Consider the following 20998-nt stretch of genomic DNA (forward strand, 5'->3'; position numbering starts at 1 on the left):
TCTCCTGCCTCAGCCTCCTGTGTAGCTGGGATTACAGGAGCGTGCCACCACACCCGGCTATCCCCTGGGTATTTAAATGTCATTACCTTCACAGAATCTGAGACCTTTTTATAATCTCCTGGTTGATGTGGAGATACATTTGTAAGTATTGAGAAGCTGAGTTAGGTATTTGAACAATTACTTTGTTCACATTGTGCCGATGATTCAGTTATCCTCCTCCAACCGAGACCTGGCAACCTCATGCCAGCCTTGCTTGTTTGGGTCCCTGTTACTGATATTCAGGTTCCAGTGACCTAAAAATCTCAGAACAGCCTCTGTTTACTATTCGGCCTCTCCAAAACACAAGCCTGAATAAAAAACCAAATGGAAATGTATTCCTAGAAATATGTAAATGTTAATCCCATTTGTGATGCAGAATCGTGACAAAGTGTGTTACTTAAGTAGCTGCTGCTCAGCTATGAGATATTCTTTGGATGTTGGGGTGGGCTTTTTTTTTAAAGCTTACTTCATTCCATCCACACATCGGAAGTTTATGACATATTTGCAGAAGTCACTTCTCTTTCAGGCCTGTCCTCTCAGAACTGTGTGTCTTTTCAAAGACTTCCTAAGCAACATGGCAGACTCTCACCTGGACATCTCCTGTGTTCTCAGTAGACTCACTGTAATTATAGCACTGGCTTGTGTTCATTTCATACCTTCAATATGCCCTTTAAATAAACAGTGATGAGGTAGATTGGATGCTGGGAATTGAGACATTTGGAAACATAGATAAGGCACTGTGGAGTTTTCAGTACAGAGGCTATTGGTGTTCTGAGTTCACTGAATTTTCCCCTCACTCACCATTGCATGATTCAGCCACACGGGGATGACAGTATCTAGGACCTTGGGGTAAATGAGATCTCGATTGTAGAGAAAGAGGATCCAGAATGCCAAAAATACAAACTGGAAAATAAAACACAAAAAATAGCATCATTAGGCTTGTTTTTAATCAGAGCTTTCTAAGATAATCAAGGAAACACAGCTAAATAAAAACAGACAACCATTTTAAAGATATCTTACATATACATTATAGGAATGTAGTACATATACATTACAGTAATTCTACAATAAGCATTCTTCCCTTTATTTCATTGCTATATCTGCTCTTTCTGGGGATTCCTCAATGTGCCAGAGAGTTAGAGATCAATTATTTGTCATCGTGGCAGGCAGAGAAGATATGAATAAACAGGATTCCCAGACCATTAGTCATTTATTTTAACCAATAACTTCTTTTTCTAAACTTTCACCAGGAATGCTGAGAGTAGGCACATGGAGTAGCTTGAGTCATACACGTTCCTTGTCCACCCTCTAAATAGGCATGGCTAGGGGAAGCAGGAAGCCTGAGAACCATAAGTGCCAATCTCCCTGGAAAATGCACAAGCTAGCTGACTGAGGGCTGGATCTCCCTGGTGCTCAGAACTTTGAATTGATCTCCTCTTGTACTCCTTGCCTCTCTTGTCAAAGCATCTATCCTCTATGCTACGAAGTCAACGCATAGATAAGGAAGTTAAAAACTATTAAACTTCTGATCTTCCTATCTTCTGACATTTCACACACTCCATTTCTAAGCCTCAAAAAATAAACAGACTTCACTGTTGATTTTAAAAACTTGGCTATAGCCAGACTTGGTGGCTCATGCCTGTAATCCTAGCACTTTGGGAGGCCAAGGCAGGCAGATCACTTGAGTTCAGGAGTTCGAGATCAGCCTGGGCGACATGGCAAAACCATGTCTCTACCAAAAATACAAAAAAGTAGCCAGGTGAGACAGGAGGATCACTTGAGCCTGGGAGGTTGAGGCTGCAGTGAATCGAGATCACACCACTGCACCCCAGTCTGGGCAACAGAGTGAGACTTTATCTCAAACCCCTCCCCTACCCCCCAAAACCAAAAAGCTTGGTCATTAGAAGATTTTACGTGGGCAGAGGTAGAGGTATCCTGCAAAGTAATAGGTATCCTTGCTTTGTTATCAGAGAACTCACTAGGGCTTGGAGAGTTGCATTTTGCATTTAAATTAAGTTCTGTACTATAGGAAGCAGGACAATGACAGGTAGAAGAAGGTAGTCATTTCTAATTATAGGCCCTGCTGGGCAGCCAGCATGCCTGATCTCTGTTTATTTCCATTCTAGCTAACGAATGGAAAACATGAACAATGTCATAGAAATGTGGATGGCATCAGCATACCAGCTTACTGTCCCTGCCATATGTCTCACTTCTTCCTGACATCCATCCACTCAGCAACATGAATGAGGCACCCACTGTGTACCCCACACCAGGCTGTCTTTCTCTCCTCGGTTGTCTTTTCCATGTGCCACCTTTGAAGGTCTCATATCTCTTTTCAAAAAAAAAATTATTTGATGGTTTTCCACTTGCAGAAGTAACATATACTTATCGTAGCAAGTGAAACAAGATGTATAAAAGGGGAAAATTCGTCATCTCCCTCCCCAGGGCTCTCCATTCCCATCACCCTGATGGAACCAAGGTTGTCTCAGTTGTATTTTGATTAAGAAAGGTCTTTCAAACTTCCCCATTAGACGGCAATAAGGACCTTGTACCAAGCCTTTGCAGAGGTACAAAAGCTAGTGATAAAGCTGATCACTAATGTGCCATATTTCCTAAAGACACTGGGCAATGTGGCGCAGTCCTCAGACAGGACATTGTTGTAAATGCAGTGGGTGTGGTTTCCAATTATGGGCTCCCAAACAGCTTGGCTGCCCAGGAGAAGCGTCTGTCCATATGCACATTTCTGTTAGATTATGTACACATCTTTGAAACTTACCGTGGATACAGGAAAAGCCAGAGTGGTGAAAAGCAGGTCTCTGAAGGCAGTTAGGAACTTAATGTCTTTTCCCCCTTTGGTTCTTTTCAGCACATCATCCAGGCAGGTGACCCCGTAGAAAATGGTCTGCAAGAGCTAAATCCATTACAACAAATGAGGGCATTTTCATTTACTTTAATTAATACCTTCTTCACTGATGGAAAACTCCATCCCTCTGAGAGTAATGTGGCTTTGAGAGGGAGAGGGCTGTTGGGTTGTTTTGGTTGAGAGCCAATTCAAGGGCTGGGCTTCCAGCTCATTGGGTCCTGACCCTGCTCGCTAAGACTGATTGAGCAAATTTGTTTAGGGGACAATAATGTGTACAGTATTTAGTGTAATGGACTTGAGCTAACATGGAAACAAAATAAAGAGTCAGCCTAAAAGGGGAATGTAAGGAGATGGATACCTTGACGGCACAGAGGTTGGAAGAACCAAATAAACAGCTCAAAGGCAAAGAGGCAGATACAGGGTGGACAGAGTCAGGAGTCTTCCTGGGAAGGAAAATTAGGAAAAATGCCTAGTGCTGAAATCTCACTAGAGAAACTGGAATCAGGTCAAGAGGACCACCACGAATCTCTGTGCTCTCCCAAGAAAGGCACACAAAAGGGTGCCTTGCTCAGCCGAAGAAGAGCCGGTGCACTTTCTTCCTTAAATAGGGCACCTGCAGGCCTCACCGAGACAATCTGGCCGTGGCAGCAATTTAAATCCAAGGGGATAGAGCAAGCCATGAGCGCTGGTGGGTTACTAAGTGCTGTGTGGCCCCCAAAGCCAGGAGAAAGAGAAGGAGGGTATTTTTCAAGAAAGTAATACGATATGGAAGGCAAGCTTTGTACATTCTTGTTGCTTTGTACAGTTCTGTGGTTTCTCATTTAAGAACTGGTAGGTCATGAAGATATGGAGTTTGGGGGGTGGGGTTAAGTTAGGCTTGCGACAGAATCCATCCAAATCCTTGAAAGCCCTGGACTGGTACAAGAGGGGTGGTCTGGACTCTGCTTTTAGGGTATAAGTCAGGAAGGTTCTAGAGCCTGGGGAGCTGGGCTGGGGATTGATCAAGGTGGCTGTTGGGGAACAATCTTTGAGCTCTGGACTCTAGGAAAGACCTAGCAAAGTCAGCCACATGCTGCTCCTGGGCTGAGGGCGTAGGCAGGAAATGATACAGAGGTGGGTCAGACCAGCTACACCCATCACCCAGGAGCTTGTTAGAAATGCAGGACCTCCATCCTATCCCAGACTACGGAATCAAAATCTCTGGAAATGGGGTCCAAGAGTTTGTTTTTTAAGAAGCTTCTCCAGAGCTTGTTAAAGATTGTTTATCTGGGTGGGATGAGGGGAGAAATTGAAAAACTACCTATTGGGTACTAAGCTGATTACCCGGGTCACAAAATAATCTATACTTATATAACAAACCTGCAAATGTACCCTTGAATGTAAAATAAAAGTTAAAAAAAAAAAAGAAATTTTTGGCCAACCTTATTAAGATACACTTTACAGAATATAAAATATAGATTTTAAATGTAGAAAAAGATTATTTAATCTTTATGTAGGCTAAAGCTAGAACCACTGAATGAGACCCAAGTTTAGCCCTCAAAAATCTTACTACTCAAAGCTATAAAGCGGACTTTTATTCATTACTTGGTATGTGCCAGGCACTGAACTGTGTTTCATTCTCATAACAACCTTACGAGCCAAGTCCTATCATTAGACTCCCCCGCCCACCACCATTTTACAAACGAGGAAACAAACCTGCCTAAAGCTTCCTGGCTGGTAGATGTCAAACCCAGCAGTCCTGTTCTTGAGCTAGACTTCGAAAAAATAAAAAAAATTATCAGGTTTCTGAGCGTAGTTCAGATAAAGCATTGTGGGAGGTCAGAAGAGAGACAATTATCTCCAGGTGGGAGAATGAACGACCACTTCACAAACCACCGCTGCCTGGTTCCCACCCCCAGAGATTCTAATGTAATCAGTCTGGGGCTAGGGCCTAGGGGTTGGGATTTTTAAAATCCTCCCAGGTGATTCTAATCACGGGCAGCTGAGGCTGAGAACCACCTGCCTGGAGGAACTTCCGTTTGGAAATTCAGACCCTGCAGTCTCAAGAGAGGCGGGGCTGGGGAGATGCAGGCTGTTGAGCCCTCCTGTGGAACAAGATTGCAGGAAAGGGAGAGAGGAGAGGGGAGAACAGAAAAGCAGGCAGCAGACAGCAGGGAAAGGTCCTTGTCTAAGGGACAGGAAGGGAAAGGGACATAAAGGTACTAAAGAACGGCCGGGGGTAGAAGAGCCAGAAGATAGGAAATCATGGGCCCTGGGGTGGAGGAGCTTTCGAACCAGAAAGGGGTGTCCCAGGGAGGGGTGGGGCAACAGCTTTAAATGGCAGGAAGGGGTTGCCACCCTAATACTTCTCATTATTGCTGGTGATTTTGACATTCACACCCTCAGGGCTGCAGAATTTGGATGTGTAGTCATTTGCACAGGGAGTTGGGAGAAGTTCCCTCCTCTCTCCCTCCCCCACCAGTAGCCTCGCCTCACCCTGGTTTCACTTCCAGCCGCTCAGGCCGCAGCAGGCCAGGCTGCTGCTGTAGTTAGGAAGAGCAGGCACAGGCTTGGGCCCAGGGGAAGAGGCCTGCGCTGTTCTATCAGCAGGGCAATTAATCCCATCCTGAGCCTGGGCCAGGCCTTCCCTCTCTGGGGAGAGGCCGCCTCCGCCCGGCGTGTGAAGTCCATGTGACCTGCTTTCCTCAGGCTGGAGCTTCCTAGAGTCATCGTGAGTCAAGCTCCTCCTGACTTTCTCCTGCCTCTCCCAGTCACAGGATGTGGAAATCGGATTGGGGGAAAGAACGCATTACTCAGATCCTCCGGGCCTTCTCCATCAATAAAAACTTGCTTTACACCTCCAACTTGTCAATCCCCTCTCCCTCTCCACCCCAGCTCACGGTTACTTCTCAGGCTTATGGCACACGGGCCTCTCTAGGTGCCCACGGTGTGTGCCAGGCAGCCCTGTCGCCATCGAGCTTACTCAACATTGAGGCGTCTTTGTCCGAATTCACCACAAGCAGGTGGAACCCCCGCGTGGGGGCTCAGGAGGGAGGCACTAGGGAGCCGCCAAGGAAAAGAAACCTGCAAGAGCTGGGGCGTGAAGGGGCTGCCAGGAGCAGCTGGGGCACACGGAGAGCGAGAGAGCCTCTCCCAGGCTCCATGGGGAGGCTTCCAGGAGGGCAGCAGGGACAGGTGTGGATCAGCCCATCCCACCCGAACGGTCTGCTTATTCTCCAAAGACGATGCAATGTTTATAAAACTCAGGATGAGCTTGACTCACGATAACAGACGGAGCGATCAGGGGAGGCAATGTTAGCTGTTATGGGCTAATTTATATCCCCCACCAACCACCACCAAATTCATATGTCGAAATCCTAACCTCCAGGACCTCAGAATATGACTGTATTAAAGTGGTGATGAAGTTAAAATGAGGTCACGATGGTGCACCCTAATTCACTATGACTGGTGTCCTTATCAGAAAGGGAGATGAGGACTACAGACACACACAGAGGGAAGACCACGTGAGGGCACAGGGAGAAGGCGGCCATCTGCAAGCCAAGGACAGAGGCCTCAGGAGAAACCGACCTTGCCCACATCTTCAACTTCCAGCCTCCAGAACTATGAGAAAATCAATTTCTGTTGTGTAAGCCCAGTCCATGGTAGTTTGTTACGGCAGCCCTAGGAAACTATACAGTAGCATTAAAATATGATCGCCACAACTGGTCTTCTTTTGAGACTCTTACAACAAAATTACTATCATTTACATTTCACAGCTATTTTGGCCGCCCAGAAAAGCCCAGACGTAACGGCATCTACTTATTCTAAGTTTATTTCAGACCTGCTGCTCCCTGATTTATCCTTTCTCCTGGTTCTTCCCTAATTCTGTTCCCACTGCGTGTTCCGTGCCTTTTCCTGAAATGCTGCTTCTGAGTTCGTTAGCTGTCTTTTGTTTCTGTTGCTAGCTGACAAACTAACACCTGCGACAAAGCTGAATTGACACTTTTAAATAACTAATGCAATTCAAAAAACTGCAGTTAAAGGATATTTAGTTTTTACATTCATGTGTTTTCACAAACCCACAAAAATCTTCAAATCGTGGAAGCTTAGCCTTTCCAAGTCATCAAGCTTATCTCTTGCCTTTAAGCCAGAGCCCTCTCTCTTTAAACTACCTTAGGAAATGAGAATTTCTTCTATTTAAAAAGTAATTCCAGGGAGGGAGATTCCACAAGTTTCCTGAGCAAGACATTACAAGTCTTATTGGATGAGTCAAGTAATCCAACACCTAACTCAGGACTGTGCCTGACTCAGCCAGGCGGGACTTTCTTATTTCTCTCCTTTGAAATGATGCAAGAATTTGCGGTGGAAGACTACACCAGAAGAAAACAGCAATTGGGGGCTGTGATGAGTCCTTTATATAACAGTGGTGGTTGTGTTTGGGGCAGGTACTTTGCCAAGTATATCTGTATTCGTATGGAATATAGGATTTCTGTCATCATTCATACACATTTAACTTAAGAAACTGAGATTAAAGGATGCAATAAAGAACACAGGAGGAGAAAGAATGTGCAGAACCACAGTTTGGAATAATGAAGAGAAAAATGAGACCAAGAGCATCAAGGGACAGGTTGGAAAGAAGTACCAGAATGCTTGGCCAATGTCGCATAGCTGAGGACAACGGGCTTCAGTACAGCAGTAGGGTGGCTGTGGGATAAAACACCTTCATGATGGGATGGCCTCATGCCTGTTAGAACCATGTTCTGGTCATTCACTCATTCAACCAACATTCACGGAATGTCAGTTAGGTACAGAAATTGTCGGTGAGGTATCAGAACATAATACAGGCCAGGGAAAGCTCTGTGTTAGTGTCTTTATCTGGAATTAGGAAAAGAAGAAGTGGAAGAAGATGATGAGGAGAAGGGGGAGGAGGAAGAGGAGGGAGAGAAACCTTTTCTGTATGTTTGGTATTTTACACGATGCAGGTCAGGTTCCGTGGGAAACAATCTGAGATTCTGAGATGTGCCTGCAGGATGTTCACTGAAGAACGCTCTCAGACATCTATGAGAGGCAAAAAGGGAGAAGGATTGAAGTGGGGGAGGCTAAGTGCTGGGCAGTTGCATGGAATCAGCTGATCCCTTGAGGAGCTCTGAGCTGAGCTGCTCGTTCAGAGCTGTCCGGGAGTGCAGCATTTGCACCCCATATTGGATGCCAGTTATGGCAGGCAGCAACGCCAGGGAGGGACCTAAACCTTGGTCGAGGCAGCTCCCTTCTGCTGAGGGCAATTCTGGGAGGGGATCTCAGCTTTGCACCATCAGCAGCCAACACTCCTGAGAGCTGGGGACTGAGTACCTCAGCGCTGGGGAGGTATGAGGATCTGGGTGCCTTATCAGAGTATCCACTGCACATGAGAAAACTGAAGCACAGAGAAGTTAGGCAAGTCACTCAAAATCACACAGCAAGTGAGCACAGCCAGTGTTCTGGTTTCAGAAGCCAGGTCTTCAATCACTCATCTCTATACTGCGTCCAAAGAACCTACCAAAATGCTGTCATAGTTACTTGCTCAATAATTTATAGCTGCTTTATTTTGGGTGCTGGTGGTGACTATCACATAGTTCTCTCAGTCCTTACCCTTTCAGCTATTGAAGTGCATCTTTGTGAGGCAGAAATAGTTAAGTGTATTTCTGACTCCACGTTGCTGAAGAGTGCCATAGGGGTTGGGTGCGGTGGCTCACGCCTGTAATCCCAGCACTTTGGGAGGCCAAGGCAGGCGGATCACAAGGTCAGGAGTTTGAGACCAACCTGGCCAACATGGTGCAACCCCATCTCTACTAAAAATACAAAAAAAATTAGCCAGGCATGGTGGTGCATGCTGTAGTCCCAGCTACTGAGGAGGCTGAGGCAGGAGAATTACCTGAACCCAGGAGGCAGAGGTTGCAGTGAGCCAAGATTGTGCCACTGCACTCCAGCCTGGGGGAACAGAGAGAGATTCCATCTCAAAAATAAATAAATAAATAAATAAATAAATAGTGCCATAGATTATTACTTAAGGTTGGTCCCCCAAGTGTTGAAGTGGGTGCCATACTATAAATTCAACCCCATCTTCTCACTGTTCACAGGCTGCCTTGAAGTTTAGACCCATAGAGGCCTCCCAGCTCCTCTGTTCCCCCAGCCCCAGGCCAGCAACCCCAAGGACTTATGTGGTATTGCCACTGTTGTCATCATGAGAAGTTGAGGGTGATGACGACGGAGCTGCCTGGGGCTTGGGCAACTTATGAAAAGGGAGGGAAAGGTCATGCTTCTGTTGTTGAAGGGGGTGTCAGGGGCGTGGGGAGGGAGGGGCCCACTCAGAATCTCCCCTGGAGATCCCAGTTATGTGGCCCCACCTCTAACAATGTTTCAGAAGGAAGCTTATCTTTAAAAAGAGGAAACCCTAATAAACTGAATGAATTCTGCGAGCCAAGCTGTGGCTGCTGAGCCTTGCCCTAAACCCCCTAGCTCATATTCTCTGGGATTAGGGACAGTCCCTGGATGGAAATGGGGTGGACAGAGAGCAAGGGACATAGCATTTGTGGAGGACTCAGGCACTGGATGATCTGAGCCAACCTAAGCTGCTTGAGGACACCCATGGCACTGCCTTGGTCTCACGCCTAGCCTCTGGGGTTCCCCATTCTGCATGGCTGTCTGCTGGAGCCTGCAGACTCTACCACCAGGACGGCCTGGTGCCTGCGGGCAGCTACAGCAGGGAGAGCAGTGGCTCGACAGTGGTCCTTCTCCAGCTGGGAAGATGGGGCATGCAGCTCGGGGAGGGAGAAATAGTAGCCATGAAGGGGAAGGGGGTGGATGACTCCTGCTGGCCTCCACCCCGCAACAACCTAGGTGCTCAGTGAGGAGACTGATGTTCTACTAAGTCACCCTCCTGCATCACCTTCTCTACCCAGAGAAGTTCACCATCACCTCCCCATCTTCTCTCCCCACTGTCCACTGCCTAACACCCTGCTGACGCCATTCTGAGCGCTTCCCACCTGTCAGATCATTTCTCCCCCATGGCTACCCTATGGTTAGGTACTATTTTTATTTCTATTTGACAGACGTGGAAATGAAAGACACAAAGAAGTGCCTAGCCCAGGGTCTCGGGGGCAGTAAGCAGTGGGACTGAGGTACCATCCCAGAGATCGCAATTGTAACCATTGTGAAATACCACCTCTCCCTCCCAGCAGGGAATCAGTGGCCCCTTCACTGAGGTCAGTTTACTCTCTTATTAGGCAGAGACTCCCATCTGTCCTCTCCTACCTTCACTCTCCTTAGTCAGAAATGGGTCACCCTGACCAATTCTCAATGGCACCTTAGCCACTACCACCAACCCCAGGGGAGTAGCTCAGTGCAACTCGTGTCTGTCTCCTGTCTCCTGTCTGTCTCCCCTTCCAGTCCCCTGGGATAGCTTCAAGGGGAACTGGGGCAATGCTCACAGTGCCAACTGGCACAAAAGGGGGCTTTGCTCTTACAAAGGGGACAAAAATGATACTCAGCCAATTAGAAATTCAAGCTGTTTACGAGGAGGGGTGTAAATTTTCTGGTAATCAGGACTGGATACTAACTTCCCCAAGGTGAGGTAAAATAAATATAAGAATGTGAGCGTAAGTTGTGAGACCTTTATGACTTAATAAACACAACCACCAATTAATTAGTCATGAATGAACACTAATTAATCATTAGGAGACACAACCATTAATCAGCCCATGAATCTCAAGAGCTAGACATTTGCAGGTCCAATATTTCACCTTAAGCAACATATTCGAAATCTACATTAAATCGATCCTCTGAAATACACTCAACCCATCTTCACCAGTTGGGAAGCATTTCATTAGGTCACACTTTCAAGATGACTCCTAATGGAGCTCAGAAAGAAAATCACCACAGGCAAGCCCCTCTCAGCTTATTTACGAGGGCCAGAAGATACCAGAAGAGAGGGACTGCTTGAGGATGCAGAAAGGCTGAGGTCACGTCAACGTACCAAGTCGCAGCTTTTTAATATCTGGGTATCCTGTGCCAGCCACTGTGCTGAATTCAAGGTAGAAATATAGACAGTTAGGGTTGGCAAGGACCTAAGATTAAAAAAAACTTCTGTTTTGGAGCCAAAGTTTGATTGGAATGTTAAGACTCACATGGCAGGGAGAGAGGGAATTAGAAAACAATACTACATATAAATCAGCAGAGACTGAGAGATGCTGTGAAAATCAGAGAAAGGAAAAGGAAATTTGGACTGGAGTTGGTCAGCAAGGATTTGGGAGGAGTATATGTGATTCCCAATGTTCTATGAAAGAAGCAATGTGGTGGAGAGAGGTAAGTAGGCCTTTCTTCTAAGGATAGAGAGAACACCGGGCAGAGAAGTGACAGCAGGAAGCCCAAGGACCAATACTAGTGAGACGCAGTCCTTACTGCAGAAGAGACCAGCCTCCCAGGGAGAGGGAACCCGAAAGGCTGGTTGGGCAGGTGAGCTCTTGAATCGGGAGTTTGACATTGGGTCCATGAGGCAGGAGGGAGCCACTGTGGTTTCCTGAGCGGCAGGCCACACTTTTAGATCCAGGTCATGGTATTAAAAAACAAACCAAAACCAGTGCTTTGAGAAGATTAATTTGGAATCTAAGTGGCTGGATTGGACCATGAATGGACAGTAAAGAGATGATATGGTCATCCAGGTAGGCTTAATATAAGCCTGGAATGAGAGAGACAGTAGTAAGGTTGAAGAAGAAAGGATGAACTTAGTAAAAGGAAAAACTAATAGGATTTGGTAGCTGATCAATCAGGGAAGCAAAATTGGGATTAACACTAGGAAATGATAGTATCATTGACAAGATAAGAGACTTTTCTCACTCTTGGAAAATAAGGGCTCTTGGAAATGTAGGTGAGCTAGAATTAAAAAGTCAGGATCAGTTGTGTGTGTGTGTGTGTGTGTATACAAAGAGGTAAGGGAGCTAGTTAATGAGTGTGGTGATAAATCTATTCTTAGCCACACATAGTGTGAGGTAGGACATTCATACTGGAATTGGATTTTATTAGAAAGTCAGTCCTAACTACAGACACACTTCCCTTTTAGTGGACTGTTTTTCATAGAAAGCCAATAGAGACACAAACCTTAGGGGTGTGTGTGTATGCGCGTGTGTGTGTGTGGTTTTTTGTTGTTGTTGTTTACTGTGGCACTGCTAGTTATACAAAAAACATTTTTTGTTTTGTTTCTGTTTGTTTTTCTCATAAAATTCCATGATTGAAACAAGTAGTCACCTTGAAGTTTTCAAAGACACTAGAGCTGTGTTCAGGGTTCCAATTTTTCAGGCCCAAATCAAGAGGCCACTAACCAACCAGTGAGGAGGAAGCAGCCACTTTGGGCCTCTTTGATTTTAACTCTCTCCATTTCCACGTCCTTAGCATTTCAGAGTGTCACAGTTTCTGACCACATACATTCTCCGCTTGTCAAATGAGGATTACAATTCTGAAAACAGATGTTTATGTGGCACCCAAGATTTTAGTCAAAAACCTCAAATATTAATTCACATCCCCAAATGATTCCCCATTATTAGCTTTTAACTTTAAAAGTATTTTTTTAAGCTATTCCTCAAAGTATTTTTCATAATCTGCTTTTCTCCCATTCATTCACACTTCATCAGAATGCAGTCAGCCAGGTTAGGAAGACAAGAAAGGAGTAAGTCATAAGATTGGTTTTTAAATAGTTGAAAATGTGTATTTGCCATTCGGTTGGGTGATTTGTCCTTTAAGATGGAGCCTGAACCTATAAAAAATTGAGGTGGGAGCTGAACATGGCAAAATGTGTTTGCTTTTCTTAGATAAATCTGTTAGTCTGTGTGTGCTGTAAAATGGCATTATTCCTTCATTGGAAATTACACTTCCTACACACCATACGCCACTCTGCCTTCTCTTCACAGACTTCCCCAAGCAAAGTTCAAAATGCCTCCTGCATTTGTAGTTAATCCCATGGTGAAACCATTAGCATGGTCCCCTCTTTGAGCTCATCTGAAAAGAGCTCCAAGATGAGATTTTTTTTTTCAAGAGAGCATTTAACAATGAGCCAGCATAGAAATGTTAACTATAGATAATTTCCAAATTGGGTTTATCAGAGCAAATTGTTAAGTAAACAAAAAACCCAAAACTCACAAAACGGTGAAGAAGGAAGACAAATAACAAAATTGTGTATTTAATAAAATCCAAAGATGATATGTGTGGCAGCACTGATATTCTAGAGAAATGGATCGGTTCCTGGTACGGACATATGGACTTACCAGATTAAGCAGCGTCATATATTTCCACCTTGCACCATTTGCCAAGATTTTGGGTTTCACCTCGTCTTTTCCTTCCTGTGAGATGTAATAATTGAGGAAAGTATACCAGCTCAGAACAAGGAAGTGGTATATGCATGTAGAAGTCTTCGTCATGGCGAGTGCTGACCGGGGCACCGTGAATGTCTTGAGTACTTTCTGGCGTCCTTCTGTGGGTCACAGCCTAAGTCCAACAGCAGGCCGGAGAGCTACAAACCACACCCCTCTGGGACTGAGAGTTCCAACACAGGCTGAATTTGGTTCTCTTTTAAGCTCCTTTCCTGATAAACTTCAGAGGCAGGATTACTGCTGGTTTTCAGATGCCTGCATTTAGATAATGATAGATAATCTGTAGATTTGCATAAAATACAACATGTGGGCTTTGAGAAGGGCAGGTAGCAATGCAAGAGCTGTACATTGTACTGTTTCACTAGGGCACTGGGGCAGGGGCATGGTTAAATGAAGTAAGCATGAAATACTAGGAAAATCTAGCGAAATACTTCCATGGCTGTAGTCTCTTTTCTTTTCATTTGCATATAACAAGGAAGTTGCAACCTTATCTCTTGAGAAAAGGAGGAGCAGGTTGATAAACCAGATCATGGGTGTGCTTAGGGCATGAACAGTAGAAAGGAAAAGTGTGTTGTAATTTTGCTCCTGAGGTCTCTGAGATTCTAGAAAGTCTGCAACAACCTTTGATCCTCCAGGGAGCAGCTCCAATGGTTTCTTTTCTTTTTTTTTTCACTTTTGTAACTATACCCTAGAGAACCAAGAGTAACCCAGGGCTGTCCTAGACACTCCATTTGCATAGGCATTTCTGTGCCCTGGGAGGGAAGAAGCAGCACAGGAGACCATCCTTACTATGGCCATGACCCCAAAATACCTGACTTTAGACATTGCTGGGAGAGGGTGAGAGTCCCCGCTCTGCCATGAATAGGATGAGACGTGGCTGGGCTAGGCAGCATGCCGGACTAGGCTCTGACTCAGGTTCCACAGAAGGGAACTGAGGAAGAACTAGAAGTGGATGCCTTGTGACATCGCCAGCTTGTTTCCCTGGGCAACTGACTCCGAGGGGTGAGCAAATCCCTCAGAGAAATGCTCCTGACACAGTTATGTAAGTCTGTAATTGGTGCTTTTCAATGACTTAACCAGGGCTTAAAAGTACTAGCAGAAAGAACTGTAGGCTGGACAAGGAGGACAAACCATAAACAAACCCACCTCCTAAGAGTCAACAGACTCCCAATATCAGGATTGGGAGATGGGAGGAGAGCAAACCTGAGCCCGCCATGGAGTTCTGCATTGTAACCATGTTTTTTTTTTTTTTTTTTTTTTTCATCTGTTGGGGCTGCTATAACAACATACTGTAAACTGGGAAGCTTGGAAACAACAGAAATTTATTTCTCAGTTCTGGAGGCTGGAAGTCCAACATCAAGATGCTGACAGAGTGCCTGGTGTTTAATGTGGGTCGGTTTCCTGGTTCATAAATAGTGCCTTCTGGCTGAGTCCTCATGTGGTAGAAGGGGCAAACAAGCTCCCTGAGGCCTGTTTTATAAGGTCACTAATCCCATTCATGGAGATGCTGCCCTCATGACCTAATCACCTCGGAAAGCTCCCCTCTCCTAATGCCATCACCCTGGGAGTTAAGATTTCAACATAGGAATTTGCAGGGAACACAAACATAGACCATAGCAAACCATTCTCAAAGGAAGGGGTGATCTGGGAAATGGGTACATAAAACTCTGTACAAAACTCCACAGCCTGGGCTAAATTGCAAATAATAACAGAAGCTAATACTTTTATAGTACTTACTGTTTGCTAAACATTGTTCCAGTTGCTTTACACATATTAGCTGATTAGCACTCTAAATAACACTATGAGGTAAGTACTATTACGAATTAAGTACATTTTCAGATGAGGAAATTGAAGCCCGATCTGCTAAAAGGATGTGTTCAACACTTTGTAAGAGGCAGAGCTGCCGTCTGAACTCAGTGTGATGGTTAATATTGAGTGTCAACTTGATTGGTTCGAAGGATGCAAAGTATTGCTGCTGGGTGTGTCTGTGAGGGTGTTGCCAAAGGAGATTAACATTTGAGTCAGTGGATTGGGAGAAGCAAACCCACCCTCAGTCTGGGTAGGCACCATCTAATCAGCTGCCAGCGTGGCTAGGATAAAGCAGGCAGAGGAACGTGGAAGGACTAGACTTGCTGAGTCTTCCGGACTTCATCTTTCTCCCATGCTCTCAGGATGCTTCCTGCCCTCGAACATCGGACTGCAAGTTCTTCAGCTTTTGGACTCCTAGATGTATACCAATGGTTTGCCAGGGACTTTCGGGCCTTTGGCCACAGACTGAAGGCTGCACTGTTGGCTTCTCTAATTTTGAGGTTTTGAGACTCGGACTGATCCACCACTGGCTTTCTTGCTCCTCAACTTGTAGACGGCCTGTTGTTGTGATTGTGTGTCACTTCTTAATAAATTCCCCTTCTTATATACATACATCCTATTAGTTCTGTCCCTCTAGAGAACCCTAATACAACCAGTGTACCTGCCTACAAAGGAACAATGTTGCTCTGCACACTCTCAGACTCCCACTTTGATATTTCTCCTCTCCCTACTGAGTGCCCCTTTTTTTTTTTTTGAGATGGAGTCTCGCTCTGTCGCCCAGGCTGGAGTGCAGTGGCGCGATCTCGGCTCACTGCAAGCTCCGCCTCCCGGGTTCACGCCATTCTCCTGCCTCAGCCTCCCGAGTAGCTGGGACTACAGGCGCCTGCCACCACGCCCGGCTAATTTTTTTTGTATTTTTAGTAGAGACGGGGTTTCACCGTGTTAGCCAGGATGGTCTCGATCTCCTGACTTCGTGATCCGCCCATCTCGGCCTCCCAAAGTGCTGGGATTACAGGCGTGAGCCACCGAGCCCGGCCGAGTCCCTTTTATTCTTCTCTCCTCTCATCAGAAAATTATCTCAGAAAAGGATCAATATGTTTTGAAACTTGGTGCACATATGAATGAATGAATGTCTCCAAGGGTGTTTTCATTTTAGACACCATTGTTGATTTAGAGGTTTTATTCCTTTATACAAAAAAAAATCTCAAGTCTAAGTCTGCAGATGGGTAAGGATTGACGCAAAGGTAGGAAAGGAGGGGAAGACAAAGACCCAAATCTCTGAGATGTGTGTGTCCAAACCTGGACACTGGCCTTTCACCACCTAGATGGTTTTTTTCTCTACGTTAGCCTCATTGCCCACAGATGGGGCCTCTCATAAATATTGATAAAATTATTTAAATTTATTTGTAAGAGTTTTAGTGTTTTACATTGGGATCCAATGAATTGTTAGCATTTTAATAAATAATGACATTAATATATAAGGATTTAATAACATGTAATATCATTTTAATACATATTAATAATTAATAAAATGATATTTTAATAAATAACATGTATATGTATATAAGGATTTAATAATTACATGTAATATATGTATATAAGGATTACATTATGAGTTAAGGATTATGAATTAAGAAATAGTTTTATTTCTTAAGAAATATTTTAATATTTTAAGAAATAAAACTATTTCTTAATTCAACATCTGCATTTTCTTATAAACTTTTCACAAAATTGTTGCCAATGAAAAATCTACATTGCAACCATATTCACATCATAATTTGTGTTCCTGGTTGAATAACCAGATCCATTTTCATGAAGTAGCCTGAACATCTGTTCCCCACCATGAGACCAGGTGGAGCTTTGGAGAGCAATGAATGTCACCTCTTAGTTGCACGTTATAAACTAATACATACTAAGCGTGCTGTTTGTCTGCCTTTTCCTTTCTCCAAGTATCTGAGGGCTTCACGTCATATCCAGGAGAAGTGGGAAGGAATTGTTCAAAACTTTTATTATTTTACACAGGAAATTTTAAACATTTAAAAATAAGCATATTTCATACTTTGATTTGGATACTACACAGGCCACTTGGTTACTAAGAGTGACTTTCTTTGAAACTCTCTACCCCCCTGGGAGTCCGCAACATGATTCTTTAATTTCACAAATACTTATTAAGCAACAGCTATCTGCTAGGTCCTGGGGATTCCCCGAGGAAGAAGAGCGATGCAAACCCTGCCCTCATGGAGCTTATATTTTAGCAGGAAAGATGAACATTAAGCAACAACAAAAACAAGTGTTAATTTATAACTATGGCAACTTCTGTGAAGGACAAACACAGCAGACTTATTAGAGGGGATGGCAGTATCAGACCTGGTGTGGGTAGGGCGTCAGGGAAGCTAGCCCTAAGGAAGCCACGTATGAGCAAGGCTTATTCTCCCAACATGCTCTTACTATCCTTCTCAGTCTGTTTAATGAGCTCCTCTTCCTCCACCAGCTCCTTCTGTGTTGGCATTCCCCAGAGAGCTGGTCCAGCTTACCGTCCGTCTCCCAACACATACTCACCCTAGTGATTTTATCCATGATCATAATTTCTACCACTGCCTTCCAGTTTGTGACCACAAATTATATACCTCTGGTCCAGGCCCTCTCCCTATCCCCACCAAGCTTCAAACACATCTTTGACTACCTGTTGGAATCTCCTGAAGGAGACAGACACGCCTCAAACTCCATACGTCTAAAACGAGCTCACTGACTTCCGCCAAACCAGGCTTTTCTTCTCTAGTCTCTGTCCTGTGACCATGGCCTCACCATCGACCTGGGAGCTTCCTGTGTCCTCCCGCTTTTTTACTCTTCAAATCCAGTTAACCACCAAATCCTGCCAAGTTCATTTCTTACATCAGGGTCAAATCAGTCCCTTTCTTTCCATCCCTTCTACAACTGCCCTCGTTCAAGTGGCCTCCATCTCTTGCCACCACCATAGCAACCAGCAACCTAGCTGGTTTTCCTGAATCTAGTTTGATGCCCCAACGCTGTTTTTCACAAGGTCAGTGAGTGATTCTCTCTGAAATGCCACATCCCCCACCAGCTCATGTCGTTTTACTACATCAGCATCACCCACAGCATTACATCCAAGTTTCATAGCTTTTAATAACCTGCCCACTTCCCACTGGCTCTCTCCATCCTCGTGTGGCATCCCACATTGGATGTCACTCCAACAACACTGCATTGACAGAGCTTTTCACCCACACCTGGCTATGTCACATACCGGCACCTTTACTCCTACTGTCTCCTCTCCCTGATGCCTCCTCTCAACATATCTTTGACTGGTTACGTCATAACCCTCATTTAAAATGCAGCTCAGCAGCTTCCTTTTCCAGGAACCCTTCCTGGATGGCCACCACAACCTGGCCATCTTAAACAGCTCCCTCCTGTCTTCTTTAACCTGCTATGCATCCCTGCATGTTGCATAATGATTAGGAATTAGTCTTTTTTGTACGTCATTATCTCCTAGGGTTCACATATGATGTGTTTGAATTCCCAGAGCTTAGCATAGTGCTGGACACACAGTAAGTACCTAATAAACATCTGCTGACTAAGAAAACAAATAACCCAATTTAAAAAATGGGAAAAAGACCCGAATAGACATCAAAAGATGACATACAAATGGCCAACAGATATATAAAAAATGTTCAACATCACTAAACCTCAGGGAAATGCAAACTAAAACCACAATGAGATATCGCCTTACACCTGTCAGAATGGATGTTATCCAAAAAAAAAAAAAGAAAGAAAGAAAGAAAGAAAAAAGAAAACACGTGTTGGCAAAGATGTGGAGAAAAGAAAACTCTGATATACTGATGGTGGGAAATAAATTAGCACAGATATTATGGAAAACGGTATGAAATTTCCTCAGTAAATTAAAAATAGAACTATAATATCATCCAGCAATCCCACGACTGGGTATATATCCAAAGGAAAATGAATCAGTATGTCAAAGAGACACGTGCACTCCCACAGTCATTGCAACATTCTTATTTACAATAGCCATGACAGGGACTCACCCTAAGTGTTCATCGATGGATAAATGAATGAAGAAAGTATGGTACGGATACACAGTGGAATAACGCTTAGTCTTCAGACAGAAGAAACTTCTATTTGTGACAACACAGGTGAACCTGGAGGGTATTACGTTAAGTGAAATAGGCCAGGCACAGAAAGACAAATACTCCTTGACCTCATTATATGTGCAGTCTAAAAAAGCAGAGAGTAGAATGGAGGTCACCACGGGCCTGGGGCGGAGGTGGGAGTGGGGGTTGGGGAAAGTTGGTCAAAGGATATAAAATTTCAGTTAGACAGGAAGAATAAGTGTAAGAGGTTTATTGTACAACATGGTGACTATAATTAGTAATAATGTATTGTATGCTTGAAAATTGCTAACAGAGTAGATTTTAAGTATTCTTGGCGAGGCATGGTGGTTCACACCTATAATCTCAGCACTTTGAGAGGCTGAGGTGGGAAGATCACTTGAACCCAGGAGCTTGAGACCAGCCTGGGCAGCATAGCAAGACCCCGTCTCTACTAAAAACACAAAAATTATGTTTTTGTGATGTGCACCTGTAGTCCCAGCAACTTGGGAGGCTGAGGTGGGAGGATTGCTTGAGTGTGGGAGGTGGAGGTTGCAGTGAGCCAGCATCACACCACTGCACTCCAGCCTGGACAATAGAGTCAGACCTTGTCAAAAAAAAAAAAAAAAAAGTATTCTCACCGCAAAAAGAGGATAAGTAGGTGAGGTAATGCATATATTAATTAGCTTGAGTTAGCCATTCCACAGTGCATACAGATTTCAAAACATCATGTTGTGCACCACAAATGTATACAATTTTTATTTGGCAATTTAAAAAATAGTAGCAGTTATGAAAATATTTGCTGAATAAATGAATATGTGGAATACCAGGTGTACCAGTCTACCGAGCCTTACCCTAAAGCCGGCTCATTCATTAAAAACCTACTGTGTTCAACGTGTTCAGCTGCTGGGTTGTGGGGAGGAGGTGGAATACAGAAATGAGTAAGACAGCCTGAGCCCCGGAGGAACTCACTGCCAAGTGGCAGAGACAGGTATGTAAACAAAAAATTACAGCATGATGTGATAAGTACTATAATAGAGGTATGCACAAAGTACTAATGGAGCCTAAATTATCCTGCACATTATTCTGTCATTCTAAATATATGGAAGATTGAGCTAACGATGAATGCATTGAGTAAGTCATGGGAAACTCCAGACACCACGTAGGAGAAGATAAGGATGAAAGGAGTCCCACAGTAAAGTAGTCATGGCCACCGGCACAAATAACAGTTTTTCCTGGTAAAGATATAACCCATTTCTTGGCCAGTCACCAAGGGATAAGGTACAAAACGCAGGGAGTCAGGGCAAGGGGCTTGAGTCCAAGCCTGTATATGCTTCAGGACCTGGAGCTGATCAGCCATCAGCTTCTCTGGGGTGTTAATTTCCTTCGGTATGAAATGGGGTTCAGGGAACCTGCAACAGTGACTATCTCATGTCCCAAAGCTGGGACGCCAACTGAACTAAGGGAGCAACTGACCAGGGCTGGCCTCTGAAGAAATGCCCCAACCCCACACAGATTCACACACCCCCACACACACCATGGCGCCAGCTGCAGCGGGAGGGGTTGGACGACACTCCTAGGTGACGTCTGCAGGTTGAGCAGCGATGAGCAGGAAATAGGGACACAGGGCACAGAGTCCTTGAGATTATGGTGAACAAGTCTGCTGAAGTGTGGTTTCATTTTGACACAAGAGAGGGGTTCTCCAGCTGCTGTTGCTAAACAAACAGCTAACCAATATAGCTCTCAGATGTTAAACCTGAAGACAAGGCAAGTCGGCGGGACTTGTACTT

The 20998-nt window shown here is 44.6% G+C and overlaps 1 protein-coding gene across 8 annotated transcripts in view, besides 5 other annotated features; it reads right to left on the reverse strand.

The window, feature by feature from the left end:
- Positions 1-13370, reverse strand: part of ADTRP (androgen dependent TFPI regulating protein) — a 65281-nt gene extending 51911 nt beyond the window's left edge. For 6 of the 8 annotated variants that reach the window (NM_032744.4, XM_011514956.2, XM_047419418.1 and 3 more), the window contains exons 1-3: positions 13174-13370; positions 2816-2950; positions 841-942 (exon numbers count right to left, since the gene is read on the reverse strand). In NM_032744.4, the coding sequence (NP_116133.1) occupies positions 841-942; positions 2816-2950; positions 13174-13326 (390 nt within the window). In that variant the 5' untranslated portion in view covers positions 13327-13370. Of the gene's footprint in view, positions 1-840; positions 943-2815; positions 2951-4597; positions 4652-12160; positions 12309-13173 lie in introns of those variants that run through there. The other 2 variants (NM_001143948.2, XM_047419420.1) reach the window with 2 other exon arrangements.
- Positions 4531-5054: an enhancer, noted in NCBI's record as "H3K27ac-H3K4me1 hESC enhancer chr6:11770197-11770720 (GRCh37/hg19 assembly coordinates)". NCBI's record gives its function as "activates a minimal SCP1, AML or CMV promoter by ChIP-STARR-seq in primed H9 embryonic stem cells {active_cell/tissue: H9 hESC(primed)}" and the evidence as "EXISTENCE:reporter gene assay evidence [ECO:0000049][PMID:30033119]".
- Positions 5055-5576: an enhancer, noted in NCBI's record as "H3K27ac-H3K4me1 hESC enhancer chr6:11770721-11771242 (GRCh37/hg19 assembly coordinates)". NCBI's record gives its function as "activates a minimal SCP1, AML or CMV promoter by ChIP-STARR-seq in naive H9 embryonic stem cells {active_cell/tissue: H9 hESC(naive)}" and the evidence as "EXISTENCE:reporter gene assay evidence [ECO:0000049][PMID:30033119]".
- Positions 5055-6100: a biological region, named in NCBI's record as "H3K27ac-H3K4me1 hESC enhancers GRCh37_chr6:11770721-11771242 and GRCh37_chr6:11771243-11771766".
- Positions 5463-5757: an enhancer, noted in NCBI's record as "tiled region #14499; HepG2 Activating non-DNase unmatched - State 20:ReprD, and K562 Activating non-DNase unmatched - State 8:EnhW". NCBI's record gives its function as "activates a minimal TATA promoter and a strong SV40 promoter by Sharpr-MPRA in HepG2 and K562 cells {active_cell/tissue: HepG2 | K562}" and the evidence as "EXISTENCE:reporter gene assay evidence [ECO:0000049][PMID:27701403]".
- Positions 5577-6100: an enhancer, noted in NCBI's record as "H3K27ac-H3K4me1 hESC enhancer chr6:11771243-11771766 (GRCh37/hg19 assembly coordinates)". NCBI's record gives its function as "activates a minimal SCP1, AML or CMV promoter by ChIP-STARR-seq in primed H9 embryonic stem cells {active_cell/tissue: H9 hESC(primed)}" and the evidence as "EXISTENCE:reporter gene assay evidence [ECO:0000049][PMID:30033119]".
- Positions 13371-20998: the final 7628 nt, after the last annotated feature.

The sequence above is a fragment of the Homo sapiens genome, chromosome 6 (genome assembly GCF_000001405.40).
Source record: "Homo sapiens chromosome 6, GRCh38.p14 Primary Assembly".
NCBI classification, from domain to species: domain Eukaryota; kingdom Metazoa; phylum Chordata; class Mammalia; order Primates; family Hominidae; genus Homo; species Homo sapiens.